Genomic DNA, 12,849 nt, shown 5'->3' on the forward strand with positions numbered 1-12,849 from the left:
ATGATAAACAAATATCAGCAATGTCTATGAAGCAGCTAATATAAGATTTACTGGTTTATAGTTCATAACAAGTAGTTCATAACCACTTTATAAAAAGTAGTCTAGAGAGTGAAGTTTTCCACCACTGACGAAAAGTTGCAATAGTTTATTATAGTAGGTACTCATTTATTTTAAGGCTATAGAAGTTAGAAAGACCTAAGAAAGATACAGACTCACCAAAATACTGTCACCTAACCACCAGCAGCAACCTCAAAATAACTGGTCCATCAGAATTATAATTTTGGCTTAAACAATGAAAAAGAGTTATTACTGTATATTTTGCCCAGTTTTAACCCAGCTAATGCAACAGCTGAATTAAAAAACTGTTTAGGGCCCGGGCATGGTGGCTTATGCCTGCAATCCTAGCATTTTGGGAGACCTAGGCAGGTGGATTGCTTTGAGCTCACAAGTTCCAGAACAACATGGGCAACGTGGCAAAACCCCATCTCTACTAAAATTGCAAAAAAATTAGCCAGGCATGGTGGAGCACACCTGTGGTCCCAGTTACTTGGTAGGCTGAAATGGGAGGATGATTTGAGCCTGGGAGGTGGAGGTTGCAGTGACCCGTGATCGCGCCACTGCACTCCAGCCTGGGCAACAGAGTGAGACCCTGCCACAAAACAAAACAAAACAAAACAAAACAAAACTGTTTAAGTATGTTAATCTGTTGTAAAAACCATACAGCTTTATGTAACTTCATTTTAGTACAATAAATAGACTAGAGGCTAAGTTAATGGGCTGCTTTATGAGCTAGAGGTTCTGTCATAAAGTATTCCAAAGTTCATACACCGCTCTGAGATCATATAGAGTATTTTCACATTAGAAGTCAAAGGTATCTAAAATACAAACAAAACAAAACAAACAAAAAAAGATAGGGCCAGGCACTGTTGCTCATGCCTGTAATCCCAGCACTTTGGGAGGTTGAGGTGGGCGGATCACTTGAGGTCAGGAGCTTGAGACCAGCCTGGCCATGGCCAACATTGTGAAACCCCGTCTCTACTAAAATACAAAAATGAGCTGGGCCTGGTGGTGCGTGCATGTAATCCCAGCTACTTGGGAGGCTGAGGCAAGAGAATCGCTTGAACCTAGGAGGTGGAGGTTGCAGTGAGCAGAGATCGTGCCACTGCACTCCAGCCTGGGCGACACAGCAAGACTCCATCACAAACAAACAAACAAACAAACCAAAGATAGAAATCAAAGTCAAAGGTTCCTAACAACTCTATAATTCTATGCCCTACTACTCTGAAAACTGATCAGTTTAGAAAAACGGGCAGTGATTTAGGAAAAAAACACCAAACATTTGAGTCCTTGGATCACATCCCAGGCTGGCTTTACTCTATTGTCGAATGTTGTTTTATCAGGGCATTTATTTTTGATTTGAGCAAAATATTTGGTTGGTTCACAATAAAAAGGATATTTATACCACAATAATTTGTGTAAAAATTAGACAGGTACTTCAAAAATATTAAATGATGTGTAAGATTTGTCACCATCTTTATCAATGTACCTATATTTGAGGATGTTTGAAAAAAGAATACTTACACCTTGGGTGGTGTATTATTTTTAAGACAAATATTTACATCTTAGATCAGTGTAGTGTATAAGACTTTCATTTTCCAAGGAATATTTAAATGGAATCTGTTTCCAAATTATCAACTTTCATATGTACTTTTTCTTAAAACTGATCAGCCTGAAAAGGCACAAGCCATCCCATTCATTTGCCCTTCTCCATTTTAAAAAAGAAAGTTCTAAAACCACAATGAGATACCAGCTCACACCAGTTAGAATGGTGATCATTAAAAAGTCAAGAAACAACAGATGCTGGAGAGGAGGTGGAGAAATAGGCACAATTTTACACAGTTAGGAGTGTAAATTAGTTCAACCATTGTGGAAGACAGTGTGGCGATTCCTCAAGGATCTAGAACCAGAAATACCATTTGACCCAGCAATCCCATTATTGTGTATATACCCAAGGGATTATAAATCATTCTACTATAAAAACACATGCACACACATGTTCACTGCAGCACTATTTGCAATAACAAAGACTTGGAACCAACCCAAATGCCCATCAATGATAGACTGGATAAAGAAAATGTGGCACATATATACCATAGAAATACTATGCAGCCATAAAAAGGATGAGTTCATGTCATTTGCAGGGACATGGATGAAGCTGGAAGCCATCATTCTCAGCAAACTAACACAGGAACAGAAAACCAAACACTGCATGTTCTCACTCATAAGTGGGAGTTGAACAATGAGAACACATGGACACAGAGAGGGGAACACCATACACCAGGGCCTTTCGGGGAGTGGGGGGCATGAGGAGGGATAGCATTAGGAGAAATACCTAACGTAGATGACAGGTTGATGGGTGCAGCAAACCACCATGGCACATATATACCTATGTAACAAACCTGCACATTCTGCACATGTATCCCAGAACTTAAAATATAATTTTAAAAGTAAACAAAATTAAATAAAAAAAAAAAGTTCTATCTCTCACCCATTCTGAATTTCACTATTGCAGACACTTCAAGGTATTAAAAACTTTCATAAAGCCAAAGAAAAACACTGGTGTAGGTGTTAAGAAATTGAATGACAGCCGGGCATGGTGGCTCATGCCTGTAATCCCAGGACTTTGGGAGGCCGAGGCTGGCGGATCACCTGAGATTGGGAGTTCGAGACCAGCCTGACCAACATGGAGAAACCCTGTCTCTACTAAAAATACAAAAAATCAGCCGGGCGAGGTGGCGCATGCCTGTAATCCCAGCAACTTGGGAGGCTGAGGCAGGAGAATCACTAGAACCCAGGAGGCGGAGGTTGCGGTGAGCCGGGATCGTGCCATTGCACTCCAGCCTGGGCAATAAGAGCAAAATTCAGTCTCAAAAAAAAAAAAAGAAACTGAATGACTAGGCCAGGCGTGGTAGCTCACGCCTGTAATCCCAACACTTTGGGAGGCTGAGGCGAGGGGCTCATGAGGTCAAGAGATAGAGACCATTGTGGCTAACATGGTGAAATCACGTCTTTACTAAAAATACAAAATTAGCTGGGTGTGGTAGCACGTGCCTGTAATCCCAGCTACTTGGGAGGCTGAGGCAGGAGAATTGCTCGAACCTGGGAGGCAGAGGTTGCAGTGAGCTGAGATCATGCCACTGCACTGCAGCCTGGTGACAGAGCGAGACTCCGTCTCAAAAAAAAAAAAAAAGAAAGAAAGAAAAAAACTGAATGACTAAAGAAAGGCAACAAATACTTTCCCTTATTAGGTGGTTTTCAATTCTCTGCTTTCAATAAAATTGAAAGGAGACCTAATAAAGCTAAAAGAACATTAAAAATCATTTTTGGCAAGTGACTTTTGATGTATAACAAAAAAAAACTGGGTGGCACTGCTAAGCATAACTCCTTTTATTACTGTCTACTTATTTATATGAACAATACTTACATTTATAAAAACAATGCAACCGATACACAAAAACACAGTCTTGATTTTTTGTTTGTTTGTTTTGCTTTAGGAGCTTTTAATGCTTAGACTGAAAAAGATCACAGGGTAGATTTTTCATGGTCATTGATCCATCTCTGACAAGGCAAGAATTTTCCCTTCACTCTGGTCACAGGTAGAAGTCCAGACTCTCCCCTAGCAATGTCTTCAGAATGGAGGGGCTCCCTTTGCAGTGCAGTGCCTCCCCAACCCAGAGGCAAGAAAGCAAGAGTATGTAATAAGCACCCATGTGCCAGGCCCATGCAAGGCATTTTCAAGAGAACACTGTCTTTAGCAATAACTATGATACATCCACAGACACATGAACTAATTGGGTGGGTAAGGGAACTTCAACCATGTGAGATCTCCTAAAATCTTACTTTTCTTGCTCACAAAATTGGAACGATACAAAGATTAGCGAAACAATTTTTTAAAATCTTACTTTCTAAGTTTTATCATTTCAAATCCAAGTAGATAATATGTTCTTGTTTTGATTGACAGAGCATTAATTCTAACAACTCTACCCACAAACATTTTATTTCTTGGCGCTCAGAAGCCCACTAAGGCTCAGACATTTTTCTTAAACTGATTTCATGTCCCATTCAAGTGTTGTCTACAACCTGCATAACCAGTACTTTGTACAACTTGTTTATATTTTAATTGTATATAAACGTTTTTAAAGAAATATGTAATATTTTTATTTAGGTACCTCCAAACTTGAATTCACCTGTGTAAAACATTTTAAAAGGATACAATTCTCTTTTGAGTACCATTACAGCTATACAGGTTTCCACTGGTTCTATTTTTCTACTGTTATTGATGAGCATGCTAACACTGACTGTCTTACATATAGTAGACATTTCAAATAAATGGCTTGTATAGAAAAAAATTTCACATCACCATAAAATGCAGTGGGTTAAGTGGACTGAAAATGCAAATTAAAAGAGAGAAAAAAAAGAATCAAGGTAAACTTTGCTAAGAGTTTGCTCATGTTATTATTTTTAAATGTTTCAAAACATATCAACTGGTTTTTAGACTGCAGTGGATACAGGTAAAGTCTGACATAATAGTTTTATTCTTTTTAATGTCAACATCAAAAGATGACAGAAATTACATCCTTTGAAAGAAATAAATGAGGGGGAAGTTGAGATGATAACTTAAAACTGTATGAGAGAATAAAGAACTAAAAAACAATTTAGGAACTCTTAGGAGAAAACAGCATTGGATTTGGCAATGATTTCTTGGATGACACCAAAAGCACAGACAACAAAATAAAAATATGTAAGTTAGACCTCATCAAAATGAGTACCTTTTATGCATAAAGAACACTATCAACAGAGTGAAAAGGCAACCTACAGAATACGAAAAAAATCTGCAAATCATATACTGATAAGGTATATAAGGTTTTATATATACATACACACACACACATATATACACGCATACATATATATATCTCCAGAATATTTAAAGAACTCCTTTGCAAAACAAGCAAACCAATTAAAAAATAAGCAAAAGATGTGAATAGAGATTTCTCCAAAGATAGACAAATAGCCAATAAACACATGAAAAGATGCTCAACATCACTAGTCATTAGAGAAACGCAAATCAAAACCACAGAGATAACACTTCACACACATTAGGATGGCTACTCACAAAAAAAAAAAAAAAGGAGAAAATAGCAATTGTTGGTGAGGATGTAGAGAAACTGGAATCCTTGTGTGTTGCTGGTGGTAACATAAAATAGTAAGGCAATTCCTCAAAAAGTTAAACACAAAATTTCTATATGATCCAGCAATTCCACTTTTGGGTATACACTCAAAGAAGCGAATGCAGGGACTTGCACAAATATTTGTACTCATGTTCACAGCAGCATTATTCAATTCCCAAAAGGGGAAGCAACCCAAGTGTCCACTGACAGATGAACGGACAAACAAAACATGGTACATACAATGGAATATTATTCCTTCTTGTTTAAAAAAGGAAATTTTAACACATGCTACAATATGGATGAACTCTGAAGATATGCTAAGTGAAATAAGCAAGTCATAAAAGACAAATATGATTAGTCTAGGAATATGAGATTCAGAGAACAGTCACATTCAGAGACAGAAAGTAGAACAGTGGTTGCCAGGGACTAGGAGGAGAGAGGAACTGGGAGTAAGTGTTTAATGGGTACAGAGTTTCAATTCTGGAAGATGAAAAAGTTCTGGAGATGAATGGTGATGATGGTTGCAGAACAATGTGAATGTACTTAATGAACTGTAAGCTTAAAAACGGTTAAAACGGTCAATTTTATGTTATGTATATTTTGGTACATTAAAAAAGAAAATAAATGCTACCATATTCCTGAGGATAAAAAAAGATTTTGTTTCCTTACAAAACAAGAAAAGGGGTGGATGGGGACAATACTAGGAAAAAACATTTCCTAAGAAACTTGGAAGACAATCTTATAAGTGGTATAAGAGAATCTTTGATGTGCATAGTGAACGGCTTGTCATTCTCTCCAAATAAGTACTAGGCAGCAAGAAAGACTCAACAATGTGGGCAAAAAAAAAAAAAAATTATGTGGGAGTCCTCTATATAGAGTATACACTAAAAAATTTTTAAATGCATCTTTCAAAAACAGTTCTAACAAAAGCAATATAAAAATAAAGGCAATACATGCCCATTATTACTGGAAAAATGAAAATGTCACCCTTAATTTCAGCCACTCACAGACAACCTCTTTTAATCTCTTGGTGCAAAAACCATTTTTTTCCTATGCAAACATATTTACATGATTTTAAAACTGAGATAATACTATATGTTTTATAAGTTTTTTCTAGTAATATCAATATTTTTTCATGTCATTAAATATTACTCTAAAAATTTAATGAATGAATAGTATTTCAGCCATTACATGAATCTATTTAACAAATTGCTGAATGTATTATATTTAGGTTGCCTGCAATTTTTTCTGATGTTATAAATATCTCTAGATGAATTATCTTGTGTATATCTTCTTTCCTAAGGAAGACTAGCACAGGTATTAAACCGAAGTCATCTAATTCCCAAGAGGTAAGTTCAACACTGTTAACAGTAATTAACATTGGATGACAGAGATGGGGACTTTCACTTTCTATTTTTCACATTTTCACATGTATTACCAGAAAAAAATTCCTAAAAACTAAAAAACAAAGAGAAAACAAACTTAGTCTGAAATTTTAACCTAGAGATGTAATATTCTCATTTATTCTTTGGCTAAAATCTACTTAAATATTGAGAGCACTTATAGTTCTTTAAAAGTGAAGTTTTAAGAGAGGAAATGTTAGTATTTTGTTAAATTTTAAGTTTCTCACAACCTTGCAGAATCAGTAAGTTAACATAGAGAAAAAGCAGCAATAAAATAACAAAAAAGTTTTCCTAAAGTATACACAGTTGCATAATAAAAATATTCTATGTTATTTTTCACAGAAGACCAAGCTTATTCAAGCTTTAAATTCATTTTTTAAAAAGCATGTTTGGGGGGGAGGTCAGTTGTTTGAGTCAATTCAAATATCAACAAATGAGGTTGAAATAGGATGTACTCAACACAAATTTAGGGCTCCCTGAAAACTTAAACAACAGTATATTCTAATACATGATATACATGTTATATCACTATAGTTGTGATATCCTTCCTTAGTTTTGTCTTTAAACATGAGTTTAAACCACTTCACCATCTACTCGGTAAACTCCAACTTAGTTTCTACCTCCACAGCTCTTTCAGTACATTCACAACTGTCTCCCAATAGCTACATCCAATAGCCTTTTCTCTACCTCACTGAATTCTACAGAACTGATCACTACCTTCTTTATTTATTTTTAGAGATAGGATCTTGCTCCTTCACCCAGGCTGGAGTACAGTGGCACAATCATGGCTCACTGCAGCCTCAACTTCCTGAGCTCAAGAGATCCTCCTGCCTCAGCCTCCCCGGTAGTAGCTGGGGCTACAGGCATGTGCCACCACGCCTGGCTACTGATTATGTATTTTATCTTATTTTATTTTATTATTTTGAGACGGAGTCTTGCTCTGTCGCCCAGGCTGGGGTGCAGTGAGTGTAGCAGCACGATCTCAGCTCACTGCAACCTCTGCCTCCTGGGTTCAAGCGATTCTCTCTCTCAGCCTCCTGAGTAGCTGGGACTAGAGGCAGGCACCACCACACCTAGCTGGTTTTTGTAGAGACAGGGTTTCACCACATTGCCCAGGCTGGTCTTGAACTCCTCGGCTCAAGTTATCCACCTGCCTCGGCCTCCTAAACTGCTGGGATTACAGGTGTGAGCCACCATGCCCAGCCAATTTTTATTTTTTATTTTAGAGATGGTGGGGGCGGGGGGGTGGTCTCACTATGTTGCTCAGGCTGGTCTCGAACTTCTGGTTTCAGGTGATCCTCTCACCTTGGCCTCCCAAAGTGCTGGGATTAGAAGTGTGAGCCACTGTGCCTGGCCAGTACTTTCTTAAAATGCTTCGGTCCCTTGGTTTACTTAATACTCTTAGTTCCATGATTCAACTTCTCACCTTTAAAATACAGGCATTGCTTCAGACCTCCTTAATTCTTTTTGTGCTTTGCTGTTTTCTTCTCTCTCTTTTTTTTTTTTGACACAGAGTCTCGCCCTGTCGCCCACGCTGAAGTGCAGTGGCGCGATCTTGGCTCACTGCAAGCTCCGCCTCCTGGGTTCACGCCATTCTCCTGCCACGGCCTCTAAAGTAGCTGGGATTACAGGAGCCTGCTACCACGCCCGGCTAATTTTTTTTTTTTTTTTGTATTTTTAGTAGAAATGTGGTTTCACCGTGTTAGCCAGGATGGTCTCGATCTCCTGACCTCCTGATCCGCCCGCCTTGGCCTCCCAAAGTGCTGGGATTACAGGTGTGAGCCACCGTGCCCGGCCTGTGCTTTGCTGTTTTCTATTCATCCTCAAGGACAAGCAGTCCCAACCTCTTAGCAATTCTGGCATAAAACTCCCAATGGTCGGCCGGGCGTGGTGGCTCACATCTGTAATCCCAGCACTTTGGGAGGCCAAGGCGGGCGGATCACGAAGTCGGGAGATTGAGACCATCCTGGCTATCACGGTGAAAACCCAGTCTCTACTAAAAATACAAAAACTTAGCCGGGCGTGGTGGCGGGCGCCTGTAGTCCCAGCTACTCAGGAGGCTGAGGCAGGAGAATGGCGTGAACCCAGAAGGAGGAGCTTGCAGTGAGCCCAGATCGCGCCACTGCACTTCAGCCTGGGCGACAGAGCAAGGCTCCGTCTCAAAAACAAAACAAAACAAAACTCCCAATGGTCTACTGCTCACTTCTTTAGCTGGAAACAACGTCTTCCCTCCCTGTGTTCAAACAACTCTCAGATCCTGTGCTGTATTATTGGACATTTTTCTCCATTCCTACTAATACCACCTTAACTTAAACTCTAAGGATCTAGGAATCTAGAATACTTAGTATATGGATACTAGATACTAAGAATCTAGTAATGAGGATAATAATAGTTTATAAACAGGAGAAATATATGTGTCTTATCAAGTACTATGCCTGGTACACAGCAACTGCTATATAAGTGGTAGCTATTACTATTATTTTATATATATATATATATATATATATTTTTTTTTTTTTAGACAGAGTCTTGCTCTCTTGCCCAGGCTGGAGTGCAATGGCGCAATCTCGGCTCACTGCAACCTCTGCCTCCAGGGTTCAAGCAATTCTCCTGCCTCAGCCTCCCCGGCACCTTGGATTACAGGTGCACACTGCCACATCCGGCTAATTTTTGTATTTTTAGTAGAGACGGGATTTCACCATGTTGGCTAGGCTGGTCTTGAACTTCTGATCTCCGGTGATATGCCTGCCTCGGCCTCCCAAACAAAGTGCTAGGATTACAGGCATGAGCCACTGCACCCAGACTACCATTATAATCTTTTAACTGGTCTTCTTAGCTCTAGGTTTTTGTTAACTATAATCCATCCGAAACACTGTCTCATCAGATCCCTGTTCTAGCTCTTCACTGTCTCCCACATAAAGCTGTAACCTCTAAACCTAAAATCAAGGGCCCTTTCTTGCTTATGACTGAATACAGAACTGCCATGTCACCCAATTCCAGGGAACACCATTCACTGCCACACCCAGAAGCTCCCTATCTATGCTTTGTGATACTTCATTAAGCTATATACTTTTCATGTTTCTGTACTGTGTTATGCTTTAAGTTTTTAAAATCTCCTGTATGTTACACATATTGGTGTTGAGTTTTGAGTATCTTTCCAGACTTTCAAATAAACATACAATTTTTAAAATAGTACCTTCTACATACTGCAGAATGTTCTATTTTACCTAACACACAGAAAAGTAAAAATGTAGGTAAACAACCCAAAAGTAGGCCAGGCGCAGTGGCTCACGCCTGTAATCCCAGACTTTGGGAGGCCAAGGCAGGTGGATCACCTGAGGTCAGGAGTTTGATACCCCGTCTCTACTAAAAATACAAAAATTAGCTGGGCATGGTGGCAGGCGCCTGTAATTGGAAGGCGCTTACAGCTACTCCGGAGGCTGAGGCAGGAGAATTGCTTGAATCCACGAGGCAGAGGTTGCAGTGAGCAGAGATTGCGCCACTGCATTCTAGCCTGGGCGACAAAAGCAAAACACAGTCTCAAAAGAAAAAAAAAACCCAAAAGTAATGTACGATCATCATCAATTTAAAAAAAACACCCTACTATCCATCCTTAAGTGACTCTTCAACATGAGAAACAACCCTAAATTTACAGAAACCAAAGAACCTCAGACCTTAGAAAACAAAGAAAGTACAGAAATAGACAATGGCTACTCTGATTCTGGAAGAAAAAGAAACTACAGAAAAGATATCCATAGTCATAAAGTTGGTAGGATGAAAATAGAAGTTTTAAAAAAACAACAAAAAACAAACTTAGACCACCACCACCACAATATTCAGGGAACCCATACAAGTCAGGAAAAAACAAAAACACAAATCTATAAGCCCAGCTGAATGAGAACATATTCAAAATATAAAAATACAATGTAGTTAATAAATAGGTGACTAAAAGTAACTTCAGAACTTGAAGATAAGATCAGCCTGATCAGAGGTAATGAGAAGTTTTGAAAAAAAAAAAAAAAAAAAAAAAAAAGGTCAGCCTGAGATTAGACTAGGAAAAATTCAAGTTAATGAATTAAATGAATAAATGTAACCACCCATAAAAGCAGCCTAGCCTAAGAAATGCTCTGTCAATAAATATGTGGCTGAGGAAACTAAGAAATATCCAAATATAATCAGGGTGATCAGGGAGTGAAGTCTCTGAAATGCATGATTGATGTAAAACAGCAAGGTGTAATCCAACCAAATGTATTGAATGTAAAGCCCCCAAATCAGAAAATATTCCAATTACAGAGGCATGTTTCATTTTTGGTACTGATGGGCTTGTCAGTATGAATACATTACCCCTAAAGACCACCGATTTATTTTAATCCAATCCCATGCTCATTATGTAACACTGTGATTATAATTTGGTCTACACAGACACCTTGATGTATAAAAGGGAGGAGAACTTTGTCTCAAAAAGGTATAATGCCTGCTGGGAACTGTGGTGGGGGTTGAGGGGGATCCTTTCTACCCTACAACATCCAGCAGAGTGCATTCTAATTGCTCAACCACCATATACCACAAATACGGGATTTATGGCAAATAGTCTCTGTATATTGCTGTTAGGTCTCCTCTGCTAGACTTGTATCTCTTTAGAGTAAGAACAATCAACAACAAATATTTAATATACACTTACTTCCTGCTAGGTTCTGTTCTAAGTGCTGGGATAACATTGCCAAAAAAAAAGTCAAAATCCAAGTCCCCGTGCAGTTACATTCTGATTGGGGAAGAGAGAAAAATACTTAAAAATAGAAAAGTACAGAAAATGTTGGAAGGTGACAAGTGCTAGGAGAGGCATGTCAGGAGAGTGGTTTGTAATTTTAAATATGGTGCTTATGGTAAACATCATTGCAAAGGTGAAATTTTAGCAAAGACTTGAGGTAGACAGACTCCTAAATTTGAATCATAGTCACACAGCTTACTATAAGGTGAATTTGGGCAATTTATTTAAGTCTCTGTGCATCAGTTTTCTCATAAAAAAAAAATCTTACCTACCTCATAAGGTTGTAAGGACTGAGTTATTTATTTGTACAATTTCTGGACCACACTAAAGTACTATAATTCCTGAGGTTTTGTTTTTTAGTTTAAAATAATGTAAAAAAAAAAAAAAGTTAAAAGAATGGGTCATGCAGATATCAAGGGGAAGAGTATTTCCAGCAGAGGTATACCAAATGGAAAGGCCCTGGTATTAAAGAAGCAGCTATGCCAGTGTGGCTGGAATAGAGTGCGTTTTGTAAAGGGGTAGAAAAAGATGTCATTATAAAGGATGCAGGGATGCTTAGGGCTGCTTCCAAACTTACAGACTTTTACTTAGATAGGGAGTCTCAAGAGGGTTTTAAGTGATCAACTGTTTTGACTTTTTAAAAGATTCACTGCATTTGCTGGGCGCGGTGGCTCACGCCTCTAATCCCAGCACTTTGGGAGGCCGAGGAGGGCGGATCATGAAGTCAGGAGATCGAGACCACCCTGGCCAACACGGTGAAACCTTGTCTCTACTGAAAATACAAAAAATTAGCCAGGCGTGTTGGCGGGTGCCTGTAGTCCCAGCTACTCCGGGAGGCTGAAGCAGGAGAATGGCGTGAACCCGGGAGGTGGAGCTTGCAGTGAGCCGAGATTGGGCCACTGCACTCCAGCCTGGGTGACAGAGCGAAACTCCATCTCAAAAAAAAAAAAAAAAAGATTCACTGCATTAAGAACTGACTATTGGTGGGGCGTGGTGGTTCACACCTTTAATCCCAGCAATTTGGGAAGCTGAAACTGAAGGATTGCTTGAGTCCAGGAGTTCGAGACCAGCCTGAGCAACATAGTGAGACTCCATTGCTACAAAAAACTTAAAAATGAGCTGGGTGTGGTGGCGAGCCCCTGTAGTTCCAGCTACTTAGAAGGCTGAGGTGGAGAATCACTTGATCCTGGGAGGTTGAGGCTGCAGTGAGCCACGTTGGTGCCACTGCACTCTAACCTGGGTGACAGAGCAAGACTCTGTCTCAAAAATAAATAAATGCATAAATAAAGAGAACTGACTGTTGAGGGAAGGTGGGGCATAATATATATATCAAACAGTGGAAAACGGGAAGGAGGCCAATCAAGAATCTATTATAATCCAGGAAAGATGGTCAGGCGCGGTGGTTCATGCCTGTAATCCCAGCACTTCGGGAGGCTGAGGTGGGCCG

At 39.3% G+C, this 12,849-nt stretch overlaps 1 protein-coding gene across 6 annotated transcripts in view, besides 1 other annotated feature; it reads right to left on the reverse strand.

The window, feature by feature from the left end:
* ATAD2 (ATPase family AAA domain containing 2) overlaps nt 1-12,849 on the reverse strand; it is a 96,501-nt gene that overhangs the window by 60,995 nt on the left and 22,657 nt on the right. The window lies entirely within an intron of this gene.
* Nucleotides 12,175-12,675: an enhancer, noted in NCBI's record as "H3K4me1 hESC enhancer chr8:124405259-124405759 (GRCh37/hg19 assembly coordinates)". NCBI's record gives its function as "activates a minimal SCP1, AML or CMV promoter by ChIP-STARR-seq in primed H9 embryonic stem cells {active_cell/tissue: H9 hESC(primed)}" and the evidence as "EXISTENCE:reporter gene assay evidence [ECO:0000049][PMID:30033119]".

Source organism: Homo sapiens, chromosome 8 (assembly GCF_000001405.40).
Source record: "Homo sapiens chromosome 8, GRCh38.p14 Primary Assembly".
NCBI lineage: Eukaryota > Metazoa > Chordata > Mammalia > Primates > Hominidae > Homo > Homo sapiens.